The sequence below is a fragment of the Homo sapiens genome, chromosome 14, assembly GCF_000001405.40.
Source record: "Homo sapiens chromosome 14, GRCh38.p14 Primary Assembly".
NCBI lineage: Eukaryota > Metazoa > Chordata > Mammalia > Primates > Hominidae > Homo > Homo sapiens.
This window is the reverse complement of record NC_000014.9, coordinates 77,066,218-77,089,301: the sequence shown is the minus strand read 5'-3', so window position 1 is coordinate 77,089,301 and position 23,084 is coordinate 77,066,218. Positions and strand designations below refer to the sequence as shown.

The 23,084-nt window shown below is 46.9% G+C and overlaps 2 long non-coding RNA genes across 2 annotated transcripts in view, besides 4 other annotated features; one reads left to right on the top strand and one right to left on the bottom strand.

Annotated features, from left to right (window-relative positions):
- Positions 12,962-13,256: a silencer, noted in NCBI's record as "tiled region #8378; K562 Repressive non-DNase unmatched - State 24:Quies". NCBI's record gives its function as "represses a minimal TATA promoter and a strong SV40 promoter by Sharpr-MPRA in K562 cells {active_cell/tissue: K562}" and the evidence as "EXISTENCE:reporter gene assay evidence [ECO:0000049][PMID:27701403]".
- LINC02289 (long intergenic non-protein coding RNA 2289) lies at positions 13,111-20,122 on the top strand. The gene is made up of 3 exons (NR_110553.1): positions 13,111-13,197; positions 17,530-17,592; positions 18,456-20,122. It is a non-coding gene; the product is annotated as a long intergenic non-protein coding RNA 2289 (long non-coding RNA).
- Positions 19,799-23,084, bottom strand: part of LINC02288 (long intergenic non-protein coding RNA 2288) — a 28,455-nt gene continuing 25,169 nt past the window's right edge. The window contains exon 4 of the long non-coding RNA NR_110554.1: positions 19,799-22,193. This is a non-coding gene — a long non-coding RNA (long intergenic non-protein coding RNA 2288). The remainder of the gene's footprint in view (positions 22,194-23,084) is intronic.
- Positions 20,753-20,812: an enhancer, noted in NCBI's record as "active region_8788". NCBI's record gives its function as "activates an Ori minimal core promoter by ATAC-STARR-seq in GM12878 lymphoblastoid cells {active_cell/tissue: GM12878}" and the evidence as "EXISTENCE:reporter gene assay evidence [ECO:0000049][PMID:35858748]".
- Positions 20,753-21,076: a biological region, named in NCBI's record as "Sharpr-MPRA regulatory region 7445".
- Positions 20,782-21,076: a silencer, noted in NCBI's record as "tiled region #7445; HepG2 Repressive non-DNase unmatched - State 13:Ctcf, and K562 Repressive DNase unmatched - State 12:CtcfO". NCBI's record gives its function as "represses a minimal TATA promoter and a strong SV40 promoter by Sharpr-MPRA in HepG2 and K562 cells {active_cell/tissue: HepG2 | K562}" and the evidence as "EXISTENCE:reporter gene assay evidence [ECO:0000049][PMID:27701403]".

Below are 23,084 nucleotides of genomic sequence, written 5' to 3'. Positions count from 1 at the left end.
TGTTGCTTCAGTAATAGGAAGCTGACTACAAAGACCAAGATTAGGAATAGCCTCCATATAGAAATTATTTACAAAAATTGAGTACTTTGTGTCTTGTAGCTTGATCTAGACTGGCTTGTTTTGTAATTTCTTGCGTACTTCTCTGTCTCCCTCACTGGAGTCTAAACTCCTTAAGGGCTGGGATTATATCTTAATGGTTTTCTCCCACAAAGTAAATTCTGCATAGTAGATGTTCAACTAACTTGCTATCAGTGGGACCCAAACTTCCTGAACATTTAACAGTGGGCTCACATATCACTGAAAGGACTCCAGAGAAGGAAAAGACACCATGAAGGAGGGGAGTGAGTAGCTTCCGTGGGCACAGGTGCACAGGAGCTCGTCCCTATTCTTTTGTCAGTTCCCTGACATGCTCCACTCTCTGCCACCTCCAGGCCTTTTGCACACACCTGTGTATGGCCACTGGGGAAAGGAGGAATGAAAGTAACTGTGACTCCCACAGGTTTTGCTCTACACTTGTCATTCTGGCAAAGAAATCCCAGAGCCTGCATTGTTCCTCCCACCCCTCTGAGTCATTGGAGGGTCTTTTCCATTCTGAAATTTACTCAAGAATGCTCTTGAATCCTCCTCCTTTATGTTTGATTTGGCTCATGGCTGACTCTATTTGGAATTCCATGAAGAATCTTATAAAACCTAGTAGTCAGTAGAGATATAGTGGCTGTACTTTGCAGACCGAGATATACCCAAGAATGTCATATGCCAGTACTCCTCTCTCCAGCCCCAGGGAGTCTGGATGGGCCTTTGTCAAGTTTCACTTCACAGGATTGGCCAGCTGGGCTTGTTTAAGTCAGCACCAAAACAGGTTAAACAGGCTCCATATGTTGGGTTGAAGCCACGCCCAGTTGTTCGTCAGAACTACCTGGTTGATTTTATCTCGATTCAGAATCTGCTTTCTTCACAGCCAATTGCCTGATTGCAGAGTCTAAGGTCTCAAAATTAAATCTCAAACAGGAGACTGAAAAGCAAGCAGTCAATTTGCAAAGACTTAAATATAATATTGCGGTGGGGATGGGGCATGTTGAGACTCAGAAAACAACACCCCAAACTGAAGGCCTCAGAAAGCAGCCTCAAAAGCAAAAGTTTTTCTCTGACCTTCTCCTGCCCTCCTGTCTCTCTATCCCATTCTGTCCCCAGGCCAGCCATAGAAACTAGAATCCCTCTTCCCCAAGGCGGGTCAGAGAAACAGAACCCCTTTTCTCCAAACCATAAAACCTAAAAATAATTTTCCTTCCACCTTGCTGTGTAAAAACTGTCCATAAAGAAATTACCTGACTACCTTGTTTGACTATAGCTCATAAGAGCCCCCATTCCAGAGAGGGTCCTGCCCCATACCCAGAAGGAAGGAGTGCAGGCTCAGAGAGGCTGAGAAAAATCTAGACAAACAAGGCTCGCTGGGTTTCCCCACTCAGTCTGGTAGCATTTGATCACAGTCTTTTTTGTCCAATCATATTTCTGCCTGGCTGTCCATACTTTCTTGGACCTAAGCACAAAAATGAACAATTTTCCCTGTATCTTTGGGTCGTCTTTCTGAAGTCTCCTGTGTACACATGTTAAATAAATTCGTGTGCCTTCTCTCCAATTAATCTGCCCCTTGTCAGAGATTTTCAGCAAACCTCCTAAGGATGATGGGGATGTTTTCCCTTGGCCCCTACAGGCATATATTCTTTTTTTTTTTTTTTTAATCTGTGTGTGTGGGGAGGTCCTTTTGAAAATTCAAATGAAAAAGATGAGTCCCCTTACACTTCCAAATTTGCAGTGGAATTTAAATTTATTTATTTATTTTTTTGAGACAGGGTCTCACTCTGTGGCCCAGGCTGAGTGCAGTGGTGCAGTCTTGGCTCACTGCAACCTCTGCCTCCCAGGTTTAGGTGATCCTCTCACCTCAGCCTCCCAAGTACCTGGGACCACAGGCTCATGCCGCCATGCCTGGCTAACTTTTTTTTTTTTTTTTATAGAGGCGGGGTTTTGCCATGTTACCCAGGCTGGTCTCGAACTCCTGAGCTCAAGCGATCAATCCTCCCTGGGCTCCCAAAGTGCTGAGATTACAGGTGTGAGTCACTGCACTTGGCCTGCTCTCTTTTTCTTGCTTAACATCAGAGTAGCTTTCACACATTTTTTTATTCATTCTCCAACATTGTGTTTTTAGCCTAAAGACAGTGATGTCAATACCTACAGTTGAGCGGAGTCGTTACAAGGCAGCTTATGTGTCTAAAGTGTCTTGGAAATCCTGTGCAAACAAATGAGCATTTTCCTCAGGTATGAAAAAGGGTGATTTATTCACCCAGAACTTGGGGTTTCTTTAAGATGTTGAGTATCCTTTTTAAGATTTAAAGGGCTGCTTTTTTCTAGTAAAGTCTCATCCCAGCTGGCATCACGGGACACGCTGATCTGGAGCTGTTATTGAACTGATGGCCATTCCCATGCAGAACGATGGTACGTTTGGCCTCCTGCTTTGTGGACAAGTATAATGGGATAACCCACAGGATTTACCCACAAGGTAAATCCAAGAAAATTCACTGCAATGTCTTGTGCTAATAGTTTAATGAAATTGAAATTCTCCCTCCAGCAATTTCTGACAGGGCATGGGGATTTTCTCCGGTGTCACCATACTTCAGCAGGAGTGACTGTGTCATCCAGGTGCAGGTATTCTTGGTTGTCCTTTACCTGTTGTCTCTTCTTGTCACACATAGCTAAGAAAGCAGATGATAGGTTCATCTCTATTACATGGGGAATTACCAAGTGGTTGCCTAGCAACTCACACAGCACAGTCAACATGGTCTCTGTTGTGGAATGTAGAGTGGTTAGCTTTCTTTTCAAGAATGTATTTCCATACTTCTTTTGGGTTTCTAGAAAAGAAGGTACATTTCCTGGATTTGAGGTTAGTAAAATGGACTTTTGTATTGCTTTTCCCAGTATTTATTCTATAGTAGGCCATTATTGTAACAAACAACAATTATCTGATCAAATCATTAATACAGCAATTGTTTCACTTTCATTCAATTCAGTAAGCATCTTCTATGTGCCATATACCCTACTAGACACTGTAAGGAATTATAAGGATGCACAAGTGTGGTCCCTGGTCTCAGGGAACCTAAAATTTAGTGTAGATGGTTATATGTTTAATAGATGTGTATAACTCACTTGTTTACGCATGCGAAACACATAGCTATATATGTATGTAAAATAAAGGTATCTTTATTTGGAAGAGTTCCTTTGTGTTTGATCAAAGGAATTTTTGCTTGTATTTAGATTACTGCCTTCATAGCTTACAGCTGCAATCAGTTCAAAAAGCTGTAATCAAAAATTGTAATCACTTTTAAGACATAGCTCCTATTGGAATCTAAGTAATTAGCAGCTCTTAAACAGCTCTTGTTGGAATATGCCTCTGCCGCTGCTGATGTTATCAGATAGGATGGTGCTGCTCAGTGTCTGCACTGCAGTCTTTCTGCATAATTGCTGCTGTGGCATTCACAGCTCCCTGCTTCTATTTCACACATTCCAGTTTAAAAGAAGCCCCTTGTCTTTCTTTGTCTACTTTGTAACCATGCAGCTGCCTCTCTCCCCTTGAAGAGGGACTTTGGCATGTCCCAACTCTTGCGTTAGGGAATCCTTTGATTACTTCAGCTAACTTCTTTTCCACTGGAAAGACAGTTGCTAGACAGAGCCTGGGACTTGACTAGCGCCTTTCCCGTGAATTGACTCATCTGGTGAATTGTGGCATCTTCATCCTCAGGAAGGTGCCAGGACATGGAGTGAAGTAAGTGTCCCTTGATGCAGCTGGTGCCTATTCGTTAGATTCTCCTCCTGAGTGAACTGTACTGAGACTCCACTAAGGAAAGAGGAAGCTTTTGTGGATAGTTGTGCCACAGCCCCAGAATTCTCTTCCACCATTTTGGCTAGCGCTCTTTAGTTTCTCTGCTTGCCTTCCCAGTCCCTGTGCAGGGCCTGCCCCTTGATCGTTTTCTCCGCCGTCCAGTTCCCTTAGATCCCTTGAGAAATCATTTGGACCTCTTGCCTTCACACAGAGCCCCTGACCTTTGCTTCCCAATACAATGTCAGCTAGAAGGAAGAGGACAAAGGGTAGAAGGGGACTGTGTGAGACCAAACATTGTACAGACGTTTTCCTTAAGCTTCCTCATTTCATCCTCATAACCACTTCTCCCTAGCTCTTCACAGCCCCATTCCACACATGAAGCTCAAAAAAGTGCTACACAGATTGCTCTAATGAGTACTGCCACAGTCTCCTGTCTCAAGTCAGTTTTTCACTTACGATCAAGCTAACCAACATTTACTGTGTACTGTGTCCCTCCCAAGGGTTAGGAGCACAGTAAAGCATATATAAGGCCCAGTCTCTTCTCTTAAGGAGTTCCCAGAATGGTTTTATAAGTGCTATAAGAAAGATTTGGGAACACAAATAGGAGATCAGTTAGTTTAGGTAAAGGATGGGAGATCAGGAAGAGACACTTAGCCATTTAGATCTGGAAGGTTGGCTAACAAGAGAGGGCTCTCTATTTACCTTTAAAAATGGGCCTAGGGCTGGGTGCAGTGGCTCACGCCTGTAATCCCAGCACTTTGGGAGGCTGAGGCGGGCGGATCACCTGAGGTCAGGAATTCGAGAACAGCCTGGCCAACATGATGAAACCCCGTCACTAATAAAAATACAAAAAAAAAAAAAAAGGCCGGGCGTGGTGGCTCACGCCTGTGATCCCAGCACTTTGGGAGGCTGAGGCAGGTGGATCACAAGGTCAGGTGTTCAAGACCAGCCTGGCCAACATAGTGAAACCCTGTCTCTACTAAAAAAATAAAAATAAAAATAAATAATTAGCTGGGCGTGGTAGCAGGCGCCTGTAATCCCAGTTACTTGGGAGGCTGAGGCAGGAGAATTGCTTGAACCTGGAAGGCGGAGGTTGCAGTGAGCTGAGATCGCACCACTGCACTCCAGCCCGGGCAACAGCGTGAGATTCCATCTCAAAAAAAAAAAAAGTAGCTGGGTGCAGTGGCGCACAGCTGCAGTCCCAGCTACTCGGGAGGCTGAGGCAGGAGAATCGCTTGAACCCAGGAGCGGGAGGTTGCAGTGAGCCGAGATTGCGCCACTGCAGTCCAGCCTGGGTGACAGAGTGAGACTCTGTCTCAAAAAAAAAAAAGAAAAAAAAAGGCCTAGAAAAAGCTGGGTGTTGGCCAGGCATGGTGGCACACGCCTGTAATCTCAACACTTTGGGATGCCGAGGCAGGCGAATCACCTGAGGTCAGGAGTTCAAGACCAGCCTGGCCAACATGGTGAAAGCCCATCTCTACTAAAAAATACAAAAATTAGCTGGGTATGGTTGCAGCCGCCTATAATCCCAGCTACTTGGGAGGCTGAGGCAGGAGAATCGCTTGAACCCGGGAGGCGAAGGTTGCAGTGAGGTGAGATCAAACCATTGCACTCCGGCATGGGCAAGAGAGCAAGACTTTGTCAAAAAAAAAAGAAAAAAAGGAAGAAGGGAAGGAAGGAAGGAAGGAAGGAAGGAAGGAAGGAAGGCGGGAAGGAAGGAAAAGCTGGATGCAGTGGTGAATGCCTGTAGTCTGAGACCAGGCTGGGCAACATAGCAAGACCTCATCTCTAAAAATAATAATAAATAAAATAAAAATTAATGATGGACCCAGAGCAGAGATCTGTTGCCCTTTGATGTTGGGAAATCCTTTATTGCTTGAATCTAAATCCTTTATGCTGCAGTTTACACCGTATTTCCTCTCGTTTCAACTTCAGTTAAAATAGCGAAAATCTGGCCTAATACCCTAGTCACTCAGAGGTTTTTTAGCAAGTCATATCTGGCTCACTACCCTAGCATAGAAAAGAAACTATTTTCCTCTCACCCCAAAACCCTGCAGCTAGACTTTTCTAGCTGCTGCACTATGAACAGTTTCTAAGAGATTCCTCCCACTAGAGCCTTCCCTAGAAGGGTGGAGGTGGGCAGGGCAATCAGCGAATCGGGCGGCCTGCCCCAGATAACTGCACTTGGAAAGAGTCTGCATTGTAAGCATTTCTCATGGTGTCTTCACTGAAGACAGAATTTTTGAAGTTAAATGACATATGAAAGACAGGAATAAAGTACAGTGTCTCACAACATCCTGTAAGAGATTTTTACCAGCCTATGGGTCATATTAACCAAGGAGGTCATATTGACATCCAGACCTAAATTTCATTAGCTCTGGTCTCCTACTGAAGGTCTATAGAACTTGCTAGCCATCCCCTCGCCCTGCTAACTCACCCTTAGTTATTTCTGGGAGACCCCCGAACTATCTCCCATAGGTTCATAGGCAAATCCACTATGTTCTTCCCCTTCAGCCTCCCCATTCCTGGTCTGCTATTCACAAGCTCCTTAAAAGGGGGTACCTCATCAGTGTCTGTGGCCTCCATAAGAACATTGTTCTTGCAGTGGTCACTCCTGTTGCCCTGCTGGGAACAGCATTCTCTCCCTTCTCTCCTGGGGCCACTCTAAGCCAGCAGGTCACCAAAGTGGAGGGTGGGATAGGGCAGCAGGGACCTCTCACAGACTGGCTGCACTTCGTTAAGTGTGTTGTGAAGCAAAGCTGCATATATCTTTAGTTGCACAAAGCCTCACACAGTTACTCCTCTTTCCATTTATCGCCCCTCACGCTTCCCTCACAGGGGCTGGAAATGAGTCTCTCAAACCATCATGGAAGATAACAGCTCATCAATACCTTCCAGTACACTTATCTTTCTCCCCAGAGAGCTCTGAACCCAAACAAAACAACTCCCACAAAACCAAACAAATAAAACTCAAAACCCTCTTCAATTCAAGATAGCAAAACTATGTCAATTGATGCAAATACTTAACAATACTTGGGTGGACAGAAATGAGAAGGTTGGTGATGTTTTGTACACTCCATCCCATAATTCATAAAACCCAGGAATAGTGGGGGTTTCTCATATAACTTGAAAAGGAAGTCAACTTATTTGCATAAGAAACATAATGCATGAAAGCTCTCATCTCATTGGCAATCTGTGAGAACGCAATCCTGGGAGAAATCTGCAATGGTTGTAGTCCAAAATTTAACAGTGCTTTGTCAAATGGACTTCTTGCTATACAAGAATTTTCTCTGTAGGTGCTAAGAAACATCCACTGCACCCTACTCCAAAATAAACACACAGAAATTAAACTCTTTCAATCCAGATAACACAAAAGACAAAGATAGAAATGGGATTGCCCTAAAAGTAGACTTCACAGTATGGTGGACAGAGCTCAGGATGTGGCATTAAAGGTCTTAGTCGAATCCAGGCCCTGCCACTTACAAGCTGGAATCCCCCGAGAAAGTCCCTTTCCCACCAGGCACGGTGGCTCACGCCTGTAATCCCAGCACTTTGGGAGGCCAAGGCAGGTGGATCACGAGGTCAGGAGTTCGAGACCAGCCTGACCAACATGGCGAAACCCCATCTCTACTACAAATACAAAAATTAGCCAGGCATGGTGGCACATGCCTGTAATCCCAGCTACTCAGGAAGCTGAGGCAGGAGAATCGCTTGAACCTGGGAGGCGGAGGTTGCAGTGAGCTGAGATCGCACCACTGCACTCCAGCTTGGTTGACAGAGCGAGACTTCCTCTCAAAACAACAACAACAAAAACAAAACAAAAAAAAACCTGTAGAAACTTGCTTTTGTGGTCTAAGTATATTCTTAGTTTAAAACCAAAGTGTTTTGTTACTACTGCTATTTGTTTAAACATCTCTGTTTCAACATTAGCTTTAGCCACAGAGAGTATCTGGGACCAGAAACACAGGATCTCTATTAAAAGAACACGAAACGTCACTTCCACACGACCTGCAATTTCTAGAATGGAGAGAAAGCTTCAGTAAACATTCAGTAATAGCATGCAACAAAGGCAAGTAAAGGCTGTGATAGAACACTGGCATGGTGTTCTTAAAAGAATAATATTATTTGTCCTGTATTTAGCCAACATAAGGATGTATTGCTCTTGTTTTCTCATGGTGGGAGATATGAAGTTATGAAGAGATAGTTACTGGATCAAAATAGAAGAAATGATGCCTGGCAGCTAGAAAAAAATATTCATGTGCATTGATTACACAATAAACAAGTAAATACGTAAGTAGCTCTTCTTTACCCATTATTCTAAATCTTCAGTGATAAATCACTATACTTCACAAGGATCTATGAATTTTGCAATGTATTAATTTTAAATTAATTAATTTATTTTTTATTTTCATTTATTTATTTTTTTGAGACAGAGTCTCGCTCTGTTGCCCAGGCTGGAGTGCCATGGTGTGACCTCGACTCACCGCAACCTCTGCCTCCTGGAGTGGATTCTCGTGCCTCAGCCTCTCAAGTAGCTGGGACTGCAGGCACACACCAGTATGGCTGGCTAATTTTTTGTATTTTTAGCAGAGATGGGGTTTTACCATGTTGCCCAACTGGTCTCAAACTCCTGGGCTCAAGTGATCCACCCACCTCGGCCTCCCAAAGTACTGGGATTAGAGGTATGAGCCACCACACCGGGCCTAATTTGTTTATTTTTATTATTTTTATTTTTTTGAGACAGGGTCTTGCTCTGATGCCCAGGCTGGAGTGCAGTGGTATGAACATGGCTTACTGCATCCTCAAACTCCTGGGCTCAAACAATCCTTCTGCCTCAGCCCCCCAAAGTGCTAGGATTAATTTGTTTATATAGACAGGAGGAGTTCCAGAAAAAACATTTTCCTGGGGTCTGACGTACCTTAAGGGTGGTCTTGACCACTACCTGGCCAACAGTGCCATGGATTTCAAAGATATTAGAATACATTAAAAACATGGATCTTAGAATAGATGTAATGCAACATTTAGTCTCTCAGAAAAGGCAAATTTATTTCTTTCTCACTTGAGGTATTCATTGCAGATTGTCAGGATACTCTGCTCCACAAGGTCATTCAGGGATCCAGGTTCTTTGCATTTTCCTGTCATCTCTTAGGGCATCATTTTTACTAGCATGGCAAAGCTAGGTCTCAGGCAAGATCATGTTCTGGTTCAAGGGAAGGGGAAAGAGTAAGGATGAGACATGCCCACTATCTTTTTTTTTTTTTTTGAGTCTCACTCTATCACCCAGGCTGGAGTGCAGTGGCATGATCTCAGCTCACTGCAACCTCCGCCTCCTGGGTTCAAGCAATTCTCATGTCTCAGCCTGCCGCATTCCCACTATCTTAAGGCCTAGGTGTAATCATCTCTTCTGCCCATATAGTGCAAACTTAGTCATGTGGTCACACCTAACTGCAAGGTGTCCCCCAAGTGACTACTCACTCCAGGGCTGGGACTCACATGTACTACGATTTGAACTGCAAGGAAAATTGGGAAATGCTATCTCCAGCTGAGCAACTATGGACCCAACTACATATATGTTACTATGAAAAAATGGGAGGAAAAATCTTGGTAAAACTCTGGCAGTCTCCATTTTAGAGATCCATCTGAATGAACCATCTCAGATGCTAGTTTATCTTAGAGATACCTGAAAGAGTTCTTGTTTGTCACCTGGAGGTTGATTTGGACAATCATGGCACAGGTATTATACTACCACTCGGCAGAGTCTTCTTTAAACTTTTAGCTCTCACCTTAATCAATTTAAGAGTGAGCTTCTTTTTGGTATAAAGACTTTGGTAGGTCAGGTGTGGTGGCTCACACCTATAATCCTAGCACTTCAGGAGGCCGAGGTGGGCAGATCACTTGAACTCAGGAGTTCGCGATCAGCCTGGGCAACATGGTGAGACTCCATCTCTACTAAAAATACAAATAGTAGCTGGGTGTGGTGGTGCACACTTATAATTCTAGCTACTCTGGAGGCTGAAGAGGGAGGATTCTTTGAGCCTAGGAGGTTGAGGCTGCAGTGAGCTGAGATCTCACACTACACTCCAGCCTGAGCGACAGAGTGAGACCCTGCCTCAAAAAAAAAAAAAAAAAAGAAAAGAAAAGAAAAGAAAAAAAAGACTGTGGTAGCTATGTATTGCTTTTTGTCATCAAGAATCCTTTCACCTGTCTCCCAGTGGTAGTATGCTACTTTCCTCTTGGGAACCCCACTTCCCCATTCTTGATGTCCCACAGACAGAGTTGACTCCACTCCCAGATCCAGAAGTGGTTATGTGACTACAACCTGGCCACTTAGGCCATCACATTCCCCAGCCATGGTGTCTTGCTTGATGATGGATTCATGTTCAAGTCAGAGCCAGTTCAGTGGAATGAGACTTTTGCTGGGACTGCAAAAAGAAAAGCACTTCATGTTTTTTCCTCACAAGTCTCAGGCATAGGAAGAGGTGGGACTGGATTGCTGGCAGCCATCTTATCCCAACAAGAAAACGCTATGGAGAAGAGCAGCATCGGGGATAAAGATAAAGCCAAATCTTGGTGATATTGTTTGAATCCCTGGATCAAGCTTGGCCTGAACCAGCACAATGCCTAATCCCTGGTCTGCTTAGTTATATGAAACAGCATCCCAATTTAAAGTCATTTAGAGGTGAATTTTCTGTCACTTAGTGCAACCGAGAGAGTAATAACTGATGCGAAGGCCACATAGACTTGGCCTTTTTTTTTTTTTTCCTGAAGTATAAATTCCCTTAGCATCTGTGTGGCCCAGCACTACACTCTGGATCTCCTTAGCTGTCTGGTCACTGAATGGGGACTGCTACTTGGCCGTGATTCTCAACCAGGGGTAATTTTGCCCCCAAGGGACAGTTTTGTCATGGAGTTGGGGGAGGCGCTACTGGCATCTTGTGGATAGAGGCCAGGGATATTCCAAAACATCCTACAATGTACAGGGCAGCCCCGACAACGAAGAATAATCCAGCCCAAACTGTCATTAGTGCTCTGTAGATGGTTTTGGCTGCTATAACAAAATACCTTAGACTGGGTAATTTATAAACAATGGAAATTTATCATTCACAGTTCTGGAGACTGGAAAGTCCAAGGTCAAGGCGCCAGCAGATTCAGTGTCTTGTGAGGGCTCATTCCTCATACATGGTGCCTCCTCTGTGTCCTTGCATGGCAGAAGGGGTCAACAAGCTCCTTCAGGCCTCTTTTATAAAAGTCTTAATCCCATTCATGAGGGGAGAGCCCTCAGGACCTAATCATGTGGCAGGCAGATTGTCTGAGGTCAGGAGTTCGAGACCAGCCTGGCCAACGTGGAGAAACTCTGTCTCTACTAAAAAAAAAAAAAAAAAATAGCCTGCTGTGGTAGTGCACACCTGTAGTCCCGACTACTCGGGAGGCTGAGGCAGGAGAATTGCTTGAACCTGGGAGGTGGAAGTTGCAATAAGCCGAGATCACACCATTGCACTCCAGCCTGGATGACAGAGCAAGGCTCTGTCTCAAAAAACAAATAAATAGGCCGGGCGCGGTGGCTCACGCCTGTAATCCCAGCACTCTGGGAGGCCGAGGTGGGTGGATCAAGATGTCAGGAGATGGAGACTATCCTGGCTAACACGGTGAAACCCCGCCTCTACTAAAAATACAAAAAATTAGCCAGGCGCCGTGGCAGGCACCTGTAGTCCCAGCTACTCGGGAGGCTGGGCAGGAGAATGGCGTGAACCCTGGAAGCGGAACTTGCAGTGAGCCGAGATCTTGCCACTGCACTCTGTCTGCCTGGGCGACAGAGCGAAACTCTGTCTCAAAACAAAAAAAAACAAAAACAAAATAAATAAACAAACAAATAAATAAATAAATAAAGAGTGTTAGGAGCCTTCTCTCCTGTAAGCTGTGAACAACTAAGCTTGTTTAGGTCCTGAAATGTCACTGTCATTGTCAGCATGATAAATGCTTTGTGCTGTAATAATACAGAGAAACAGGATGTCTATTCCCCAAAGCCTCTGTGATGGAGAAGGTGGGCTTTCCAGAGGCTCTGACTGTGGAATGTGTCTAGAATCCTCTGCATGTTTTCCAGGTTCACCTCCACACCCTCATCTCTGCTCAGCCGGGTCCTTGCTAGGAGCAGGAACCTGCCTGGTGGGTCTCTGATGGCAGCCCCATGCTCTGCAGACCCCGGACTCTCCGCAGCCCCAGCTCCTGCCTTGTCCTGTTGTCTTCCACCAAGGGGCACCCTTCTTTAAAAAGCTGGACTCTTTTTTTTTTTTTTTTTTTTTTGAGATAGGTTCTTGCTCTATCACCCAGGCTGGAGTGCAATAGTGCAATCACAGCTCACTGCTGCCTCCACTGCCTGGGCTTAAGTAATCCTCCTGCCTCAGTCTCCTGAGTAGCAGGGACCACAGACACACACCAACACTCCAAGCTAATTTTTAAAAATTATTTGTAGGGATGAGGTCTCGCTATGTTGCCCAGGCTGGTCTCAAGCTCCTGGCCTCAAGGGATCCTCCTGCCTTAGCCTCCCAAAGTGCTGGGATTACAGGAGTGAGCCACTATGCCCGGCCCAAGACTGACTCTTAAAAAAGGACAGAGCTAGTCCCAAGCTTGTGCAAGGACAGTGAGAGAGGGGAGACTCAGAAGTAGCCAATTTTTCCCCCAGTAATTAATAAGACATTTAAAGGACTTATCAGGTCACCACAGCTCCATCATCCCTGGGGAATTGTTTGGTTTAGCAGAACTGTTCCCACCCTGCCCCCCTTTGCTTTCTTCTTTCCTTGCCCAGACCCCTCCCCCAACTTAGTTGACGTTGCACAAAGCTTTCAAAAAAACAAGTTTTGTTCCCAGGTCAGCTATATCCTCCCAGGAAGTTTCCCCATCCCAGGGTGAAGTCAGGCCAACACAGGGTGAAGAGTTAGGAGGTCAGGGGCGGGGGAGGGGCGGGTGTTTTGCACGGGACAAGGAGTTCTTTTTTGTTGTTGTTATTCTTTGCGTCATTTCCAGAGAGACAGGAAGGAAAACATAGTAAACATTCTTCAATTCTGCACAAAAGCCGAGAAGGGATTTTCTTCAGGAACCTCCTTGTGGCTCTGCCATGGCGGGGAGGGTTGGGGGTAAGAAATATAAGACCCAATTCCCTGTGGAGGCGGGGATTCGGTGAAACCAATCCCTTGAATGTGGGGTGGAACCAACATGTAACTCAATTTGCTTTGGCTCTCACTGTGCATTTGAGCTAAAGCAAGGGAAGCATTTCCCCTTCCCCTGGCTGAAAGCTCAGCTGACCCCGAGGCTCTTCTGGTCATGCTTAGGTATGTACATTTTATGTCACGAAATCCAGTATCGACTTAGAGATTTAAAGCAGCCACCCAAAGATATTAAATGACTCTTGCATTTTTCTTCAAAGAGAAATCTTCTTCCTCCTGCCCTAGTTAAGGCCTTAGTTGGGGGCTGCCAGCTGCCAGGGACTGGGCATGGTGGCTTTTGTCTATTCTCTCCCGAATACCCCTCTCCCCACTTGCTGGTTGCTTTCAGAGTCTAAGTGGAGGTGGTGGGTGAGGATGCAGGGAAGCGGATGGGGAGCAGGGGAATAGGGCAGTTTTTACTTGACTGTATGATTGCCAGCTCTCTGGGTGTGGCAGATGGTGAAAGCTCTTTCTGGAGGGTTCCCTGTGTTCTTCAGAAGTTCCCATCTCAGCCAGGCTTGGTGGCTCACGCCTATAATCCCAGCACTTTGGAAGGCGGAGGCGGGCAGATCACTGGAGCCCAGGAGTACTAGACCAGCCCGAGCAACATGGCTAAACCTCATCTCTACCAAAAATACAAAAAGTATCTGGGGGTGGTGCTGCACGCCTGTAGTCCCAGCTACTTGGGAGGCTGAGGCAGGAGGATTGCTTGAACCCAGGAGGTAGAGGTTGCTGTGAGCCGAGTTTGGGCCACTGGACTCCAGCTTGGGCAACAGAGTGAGACCCTGTCTTAAAAAAAAAAAAAAAAAAAGTTCCCATCTCTAAGGTTTTCTCCTGAAGTTCCCTGTTCTGCACCTCCATTTCAGGTACAGCTATGACTCCATCTTCAACCCCTAGAAATCCAGCATCCTCTTCCAACTTCTTTCTGCTGACATCCCTTTGCCCTTCTCAGAGGCCCTACAGGACTTAAAATGACCCCCACCTTGGCCCTCTCTCCTGCCATGGTCCATCTGATCCACATGTGGCCCATGGGAAGAACTCACACAGCCCCTTCACTCATCCTAATGCAGTCCCTCCTGGCACAGTCCCATGGGGGCCCACAGCTCCAAGTGGCTGCATGGAAGCCCCCATCACTAGGCTTGAGTTGAAAGCAGTAGGGCCCCTAACTCCTTGGTGGGGTAGCTTACAGCATGGCTTTGCCCTTTCTGGAAGTTTCTATTTCCAAACTCTCCCCATTCTCCACACTCTATATTGTTGGTAGGCTGAGGGCCCTGAGTGCTATGCAACTGGTTCCCCATTATTTCCTTTGTAAATACTACATATGGGAGTCTGTCTCATGTTCAGTTTGCTATCTGATGATATTGTGGTAGCCTGCTTCCACAATGGCCCCTCATTGTCCCCATCTCCTGGTATTCACATCATTGTGTCTCCTCCCTCCGTGAACAGGGCCGACCCTTGTAGCCACTTGCTATTGCAGAGCTGATGGCATGCATCTTCTGAGGCTAGGTCATTGTTGTGTGTTTAATGATGTCCCCCAGAAGATATGTTGCAGCCCTAACCCCCAGGGCCTATAAATGTGACCTTTTCTGGAAATAGTCTTCGCAGTTGTAATCAAGGGTTGTTCTTGACTAGAGTGGGCCCTACATCCAATGACTGGTGTTCTCATAAGGAGAGAGAGACAAAGAGTAGACAGACACAAGGGAGAAGGCCGTGTGAAGATGGAGACAGAGATTGGAATGATACAGCCACAAGCCAAGAAACATCTGCGGCCGTCAGAAGTTGGAAGAGGCAAGGAATGATTTATTCTTTCCCACTCATTGTTTCACCAATGAGCACCTTCCATGTGCCACCGTTCTGACCCTGCTGACAATGTGGTTTCAGACTTCTGGCCCCCAGAACTGTGAAAGAGTAAATTTCTGTTAAGTTATCTTGCTTGTGGTACTTTGTTACAGCAGCCCTGTGGATCTAATATAGTCATAAGAGACATTGTGACCTCCTCCCTGCTCTCTTGAACCACTCATTCTGGGAGAAGTCAGCTGCCATGTCATGAAGCTACTCAGGGAGGTCCATGGAGAGGTCCACATGGCAAGGAACTGAGGCCTCCTGCCAGTAGCCAGCACCATCTTGCTGGCCATGTGAGCGTGCCATCTTAGATGCAGATCATACGGCCCCAGTCAAGCCTTCAAATGACTGCATCCCTACTTGACATTTTGACTGTAACCTCATGACAAACCCTAAGCCAGAACACCAGCTAAGCCACTCCCCAATTCCTCATCAAGAGAAACTGAGATAATAAATGTTTATTATTGTTTTAAGCTACTAAATTTTGAGGTAATCTGTTATGTAGCAATAGATAACTAATACTGATATCTGTCATATTGGGGCCTCAGTGTAACTTGGAACAGAAAGAGTTCCATATTATAATTCTTAAACATTACTTGGAATGGTTAGGGGCCCCAGTGCTATTCTCTCTGGGGATATTTCCAGCAATGGGCCCCACAGCCATTTATAGTGAGTTGTCCCACTTACTCTTTCACCAGTGAGCACTTTCCATGTGTCAGATGCCATATTAGAGACTGGGGCTATAGAAATGAACAGTCTTTTGGGAGGCCGAGGCAGGTGGATCACCTGAGGTCAAGAATTTGAGACCAGTCTGACCAACATGGAGAAACCCCGTCTCTACTAAAAAAAAAAAAAATACAAAATTAGCTGGGTGTGGTGGTGCATGCCTGTAATCCCAGCTACTTGGGAGGCTGAGGCAGGAGAATCACTTGAACCTGAGAGGCGGAGGTTGTGGTAAGCCAAGATTACACCATTGCACTCCAGCCTGGGCAACAAGAGTGAAATTCCATCTCAAAAAAAGAAAAAAAAGAAATGAACAGCCCTGTTCTTAATCACTTAACCAGTGGTCATTATGGTCTCTGCTAGTAGAGCACTATGGGCAAGAAGGACAGCACTGCTTTGCAGGGAAGGGAAAAGAGAGACATCACTGAGGCACTGAAGAGGAGAAGCATTCAGTGGTATGACCTTGAAGAGACAAGAAGAGGACCAAGTTCAAGAGTCTGCAAGAACAGTGGGAGGTAGAGCTGGAACTAGAATCCAGACACCCCACTTCTAGTCTTGAATTTGCGCTTCCTGAACTACACAGAGGCTGGCTCATGGTACCAGGGTCTCTAAAGATACCTGGAGGCATGAACTTGAATCCTGCTGGGATACTACTCTTTGAATAATAATTTCTCTATGGAAAGGCAGGGTACAAAGTCTTGGAATCTTGTTTCTGCTCTGCCATCTTAGCTAAATAACTCCCTTTGGAGATCCTTTGAACCCTGATAGATCAGCAAGCCCCCTCTGAAACATCATAAGCCTCAGGGCAAGAAGGCTGGCCTTCTCCTCCATCTGAATCCCAGCCCTTCTTTTTTTGAGATGGAGTTTTGCTCTTGTTGCCCAGGCTGGAGTGCAATGGCGCGATCTCGGCTCACCACAACCTCTGCCTCCTGGGTTCTAGCGATTCTCCTGCCTCAGCCTCCTGAGTAGCTGGGATTACAGGCATGCAAAACCATGCCCTGCTAATTTTGTATTTTAAGTAGAGACAGGGTTTCTCCATGTTGGAAAGGCTGGTCTTGAACTCTCGACTTCAGGTGATCCGCCCGCCTCTAGCCCTTCTTAGTAGTGGTGTTTTCTAAACAGGTTAGATAAGAATTTGACACCTGCTGAAATCTCCAGGCTGGCTCCTCCCAAGGTCAAATTGCACATCTTGCCAACGAGAACAGCCTTCACTTCTTGAGCATCTACTCAGCAGCAAGTGATTTCTCTAATCTTCACAACACCCTCTCAAGGCAAGGGATCATGGGCCACACTTGGCAATCTAGGAAAGTGAAGTTCAAGAACAAGCCCCAGGACACACAGCTAGTGACAGCGAGGCACAGAGCTGGGATTCCAACCCAGGCCTGTCTAACCCTAAAGCTCCTCCTATCCACCTCCTCCTTGCTGCCACAGAAGGTGACTCAGAGGTACTCAGTCTGGAGAATTCAAGCCAGTATCCCAGGAAGTGGAATTTTCTCCAGTGTTCTAGGAAGGAGGGATTACCATGGCATGGGGTGGGCCAGGTAGACACAAGAGGCAGTGAAGGTGCATAAAGTGGTGATTAAAGGGAATGGAGTCTACTGTGGTTTGGATATGGTTGCGTCAACCTAAACTCATGTTGAAATTTGACCCTCGGTGTGGTGGTGGTGGGAGGTGGGGCCTAGTGGGAGGTGTCTGGGTCATGGGGGCAGATCTCTCATGAAGGGCTTAGTGCCATCCTCACAGTGGAGAGTGAGTTTTCACCCTGGCAAGACTGGATTCTTGTAGGAATGGATTTGTTCCCAAGACAGTGGGTTGTTATAAAGCCAGGATGCCCCTTGGGTTTTCCCTTCTTTGCAAGTGTTCACTCTCCCTTTGACCTTCTGTATGTCGCAGCCCTCACCAGAGGCTGAGCAGATGCTGAGGCCATGCTTCTTGATTCTCCCAGCCAACAGATCTGTAAGCTGAATAAACCTCTCTTCTTTATAAATTACCCCGTCTCAGGTATCCTGTTATGGCAACACGAAATGGACTAAGACAGGCGGGTGACAGATTGTCCAGGTTTGAAACATAGCTTTTCCTTGTGCACCGCATCTCAGGTTCTTCATCTGAAAATTGGGGATAAGAACATGTACCTCCTTGGGTTTGGGGGAAGATTAAATGAGATAATGCATGTGAAATTCATGGCAAGAGTAAACTGCCCATTACATCTTTCTGCTTTTAACATTGCTATTGACATTACTTTCCCTCCATGGTCACTAGACTCTTGTATCAGGCCAGTATTTGAAGACAGACAAATTTAAACGAAATAGATGTAACTTGGAGGATGATGGCAGAGAAATCTGTGGCTTGACGGTTTTTTTTTTTTTTTTTTTTTTGAGACAGAGTCTTGCACTGTTGCCCAGGCTGGAGTGCAGTAGCATGATCTCAGCTCACTGCAACCTCCGCCTCCCGGGTTCAAGCGATTCTCCTTCCTCAACCTCCCTAGTAGCTGGGATTACAGGTGCCCGCTACCATGCCTGCTAATTTTTTGTATTTTTATAGAGACAGGGTTTCACTATGTTGGCCAGGCTGGTCTCGAACTCCTGACCTCGTGATCCACCCGTTTCGGCCTCCCAAAGTGCTGGGATTACAGGCGTGAGCCACCGCGCCTGGCCTTGAAGGTTGTTTTTCTAATTTTTTTTCCCAGCTCTAAGACAGCTCCCTGTGTAAGATGATGAGTGTGATTAATTGCAATCAGCTCCTCTCCATGTAATGAGGGAAGCTGGATGTCATCCTCTGGCTTCTGTCCAAGCTGATGCAGTTACCTATTGTGTCCACAGGATGTCACTATCAATCACGCTTCGACTGAGTACAGCCAAACCAGGATACTCAGGGACTTGGAATCTGTTACCAGACTTTTATTTAGTACAGACACAGCGCCAGGGGGCTGAGCATTCTTCAGCAACACCCTTTGGACCCCTTTCTACACCATCATGCTGTATGAACAGAAGGGTTGGGGACATGAAGGAGCAGCTCAGCTAAGGTGACCCAGATGGTTGGGCTCAGAGCTGGAAGAACACCGTGGTCTTCTGACTCCCAATTCCTGCATCTGTCCTGCTTGTAAGAGGCTTGCCAAGAACAGGAGCTTTTGTTTGTAGGTCTCTAGGGATGGCCACCACAGGGAGTGTGATTTGAAGATGGGGTCGGCGTGACATTACAGGCCCCCTTTAGGCTCTGCTGGGTTGCAGGCCAGCTCTCTGGGCTGCCTTTCTGATGGCTGCTATTTTAAAGGCAGATAGGATGAAGTTAGCAACAACTTATATCATTAAACTAGCAAGGGCTCAGGAGGGGCAGCCCCCTTCTGGGAATGTGCCTAGCTCCTGCTCCAGAATGGAGGAGTTTCTGTGGCTCTAGGAGAGCTGGCCTTCTATGGAGTCTGAGCAATGTACCGCACGGGGAGGAGAAGACGCTTCCAGAAGATACCAGTGTTTCTATCCAGAGACGTTTCCAGGACACCACGTTAAGCAGCAGAGACACTAGAAGCCAAGGCACCTATGGTCTGGTGTGGATGTGTGCCTCCTGTGCCTCAGTGGCATCATCCGTACCATGGGAGGTGTGTAATGAGGGGTGAGATCACGTCTGTGAGGGCACGTACATAGTAGATGCCCAGGAAGTGCCAGTCCCCATCTCCTTCCCAGTTTCTTCAAAGCCTTCTGGAAGGCACTGGCATAGCCCAGTCCTGAGGCACTGCTTTTTCTTTCATGGATGATCAGGAGCTTCTGTGATTTCTTCCCCCTCACTCTTCATTTTGCCAAGATGTTGCCCATAGTAACCTCAGCAGTGGAGCGAGGATTCTGCACTGTTCCACTGCCCTGGGGCTGCACACCCACGTGAGCGGGGCCGACCCGTCCCAGAGCGCTTTGCCCTCAGAAGGCAGCATCACCTGCAGGAGCAATGCCATGGACAGCTCTGGCTTGTCCTCCAGGGCCCTGGCATGGTCAGTGAGAAAATGCCCCTGGGGCATGGGCTTCTCCTGTCAGTCAAGTTCAGAAGGCTTCCTGGGGTAGGTAGAGACGCTCCCTACCCAGCTGAGTTATTGAAATGATAGGAGGGAGAAGGGAAGGTCTGGGCATGTGGCACTGTGATTTTTTTTTCTTTCTTCTTTTTTTTTTTTTTTTTTTTTGGAGACTCGGGGTAGAAATGAGGACAGGAAGAAGTACAATCCGTCTGGGATTGGTTTATTTTTATTGCTTTTTAAAATCATGTGACTAATTGGTGTTCATTGAAAAAGAGAAAACAAAAATAAGCCAAGAGAAGACAGCAAAAATAATCTGTTAACATCTTGGCAAATATCCTTTTTCTCTGCATAGAAACGGAGAATACTTTTGTTTCACTTATAAAATGTTTCTTAATGTACACAGCTTTATAACCTGCTTTTTGCTTAATGGGACAATATACTAGGACATGTTTTCAGGCCAACAGATAAATATACTTCACTTGCATTGATGCTATTGGCTCCATGGTGTTCTGGTGGTTGGTAATTTACCCTGTCATTCTGTCTCCCTTTACTCAGTGGCAAAAATGACCTGGGCACCTGCACCTGGGCCTGGGCTGGACATCAGTCCTTGGCAGATGGGGAAGGTTGGCGACCAGCAAGGCACAGAATAAGGACACACGGTCCCAGCAGACCCTTGGGATGACCTTGACCACTTGGACCTTGGAGAGAGAGTGGAGAGGAGAAGAACAGAGGGCAAAGCCACATGGAAGGGAGGGTGCAGGTGGCTGGTGGCTGGAACTCCTAGAGGCTGAGCAGTGGGGGTTGCAGGAGAGAACTGGCTCCTTCTAGACAGGGGAATATCGTGGTTAGGGTTCTGGAGTCAGATTCAATCTGGGCTCTGTCACCTACTAGCTGGGGAACAAATAATTGCGCCTTGGATCATCACCTATAAAACTAATAATAGCTACTAATCAGATTGATGTAAGTGCCAGGATTAAATGAGAGAGTCTACAAGCTATAAAAAGTGCTATGTGGCAGCTGCCTTTAAACATTCCTAACATTGGCTTTGTTATTATTGTTGCTGCATTTCCAGGTAACGCAGAAGGGCTTCTCTCTTCCCTAGCCCATCCCTCTGCCTCATTTCTCTCACATTCCTGCTTCTCCTCTTTCTCTTCCTTTTCAACCCTGCAAAAGCCTTGGCTTCGGGAGCAGTGGCAGGAGGGAGGGAAGAGGAGGCTGCAGCCGCTACAGCCTCATGCCACATGGGGGCAGCAAGGCCCTCTGAAATGTGGGCCTGCCTCTCCCACCGCACCTTCTGGCGGGTGCAATGGCCCAGAAGAAAGAAATCCATACCCACCTGGGCCCAGGTAGGGGGGCACTGCCCAGAGGGGTCCCACGGTCCCCAGCCTGGGTCAGCCAGGCCCTGGCAGAGTGGGTGACTGTTACGACAGGTCCCAGGAAGGCAGGGTGCCCCAGAGTGGGGCCGGGTCTGCTCAAGAGGGAGTTGGAGAATCTGGAGAAGGGTGGGAAGGAGGTGTGAGAGTCCTCCAGGAACCTACAAGCCTCCAGGTGCCATGAGAGATGGTCCTGGAAAATTGGCCAGCCGAACTTGGTCTTTGGGACAACCCAGAAGAGAGAATTAAGTGGGAGTCAGTATAGCACAGTGGCTCAGCACATGGGCTCTGGGGGCTGGCTGGACCTGGCGTCCACTAGTGGCTCTGGCGCTTACCAGCTGTGTGGCCTGGATCAATTCACTTAACCTCTCTGAGCCTCCATTTCCTCACCTGTAAATAATAGTGGTACCTACCTCATAGAGTTTGTGAAAACTAAGTAAGGTAATATACATGGAGCACTTGGCACACTGCCCAATCCATGGCAGCTTAGTTATTTTTATCATTATCAGGTAAGTTGGCCTGAAGAGCTGGGAGACAGTTATGTATAGAAAATGAATGTGCTGGCCGTGCACATGCATGGTGGCTCAAGCCTATAATCCTAGCACCTTGGGAGGCAAGGTGAGAGGACTGCTTGAGGCCAGGAGTTCAAGCCCAGCCTGGCCAGCATGGTGAAACCCCATCTCTACTAAAAATACAAAAATTAGCTGGGGGTGGTGGCACATGCCTGTAGTCCTAGCTACTCAGGAGGCTTAGGCAGAAGAATTGCTTGAACCTGGGAGGTGGAGGTTGCAGTGAGTCAAGATCACGCCACTGTACCTCAGCCTGGGCAACAGAGTGAGACTCCCTCTCAAAAAAAAAAAAAAAAGAAAAGAAAAGAAAAAGAAAAAATGTGTTTCCCCAAGTTCACAGCTGTGGCTGGGTATTCTTTGCAGAACCAAGTTGGAGTATGCATGGCTGGGGATCTGGAGAGGAAAGAATTGGGGGGTTGGGGTCAAAGGGCAATCATAATAAAGAACAAGGGGTGGGGGCCTCTAGGCTTGGCTGCTTTGAAACCAGGTAAAGACTCCAGTCGCCTTCCTGGTTAAGGAACATGTTGTATGTGTTCACACCACACCTCTTTCCTCCAGGCTGCCCTTGAAGCAGTCCCACTCCTCCTGGGGGTGCAGAGCAGGGGTCCACAGTGGTGCCTGCATGGGAAGCAGAAGAGGGCTGGCATGGAGAAGGGGGGCTCAGTGACCTTAAGCATCTAAGGCCTGATGGTCAACTTGGGTCCACCCTGCAGGGAAGCAGGTGCCCCTGCTGGCCTTCTTGCCATGCACAGGCAGACTGGGCCCTGGACCAGGCCTCCCACTTCCTGCTAATGAGGCGCGGCTCCTCCAAGGGCAGAGGGGCTATGCTCCTGGCAGGCGGGCTAGCACGTTGGTGAGCAAGGGTGAGAGTATGTCTGCCTGTGTTCTTTTAACTTCTGCAGAAAGGTCACCGAGGGGTCTCCATTACGAGCGGTCTTGAGCCCTGTACTATTTTTTCATACAATTTAATCTACTCCCTGGATGGCCTCCAGTGTGTGAGCCACTGACAATCGCAGGTTTTTGCAATTGATTTCCTGGAAGCAGCGGCCCAGCCGGCAGCCACATGATGGATGTATGCTAGGCAACCTGGTTCAGCAGAGGCTGAAGGGGCTTAGGAACCCCAGGCTGCCCTCCCACACCATGGCAAGGTCCCTGAAATGTCGGAAGCATGCACTTCTGCCCTCCAGCTCCACCCTGAATCATCAATGCCTGGAGAACCACTCACACATGTGCACAAAGAGACATGGGTGAGCATGCTCGGTGCAGAATTGTTTGTATGGTAAAAACTGGAGCCACCTTATCTCTTCATCAGGCAGGGCTGCTGCATTCTGGGTGTGGATGGCATCCCCTGGAATTGTGCAGAGGCACCATTTACCATGAAAACCTTTTGACCCATGTCCTCTAGAGCTGGGACCCTGAGTGAGGGGGAGTGAGAGGGGCGTGGTTGAATCAACTGTGTTACAGGCACGCATGGAATATTAGGTAGAGGTTAAAAACAAAAAATGAGGA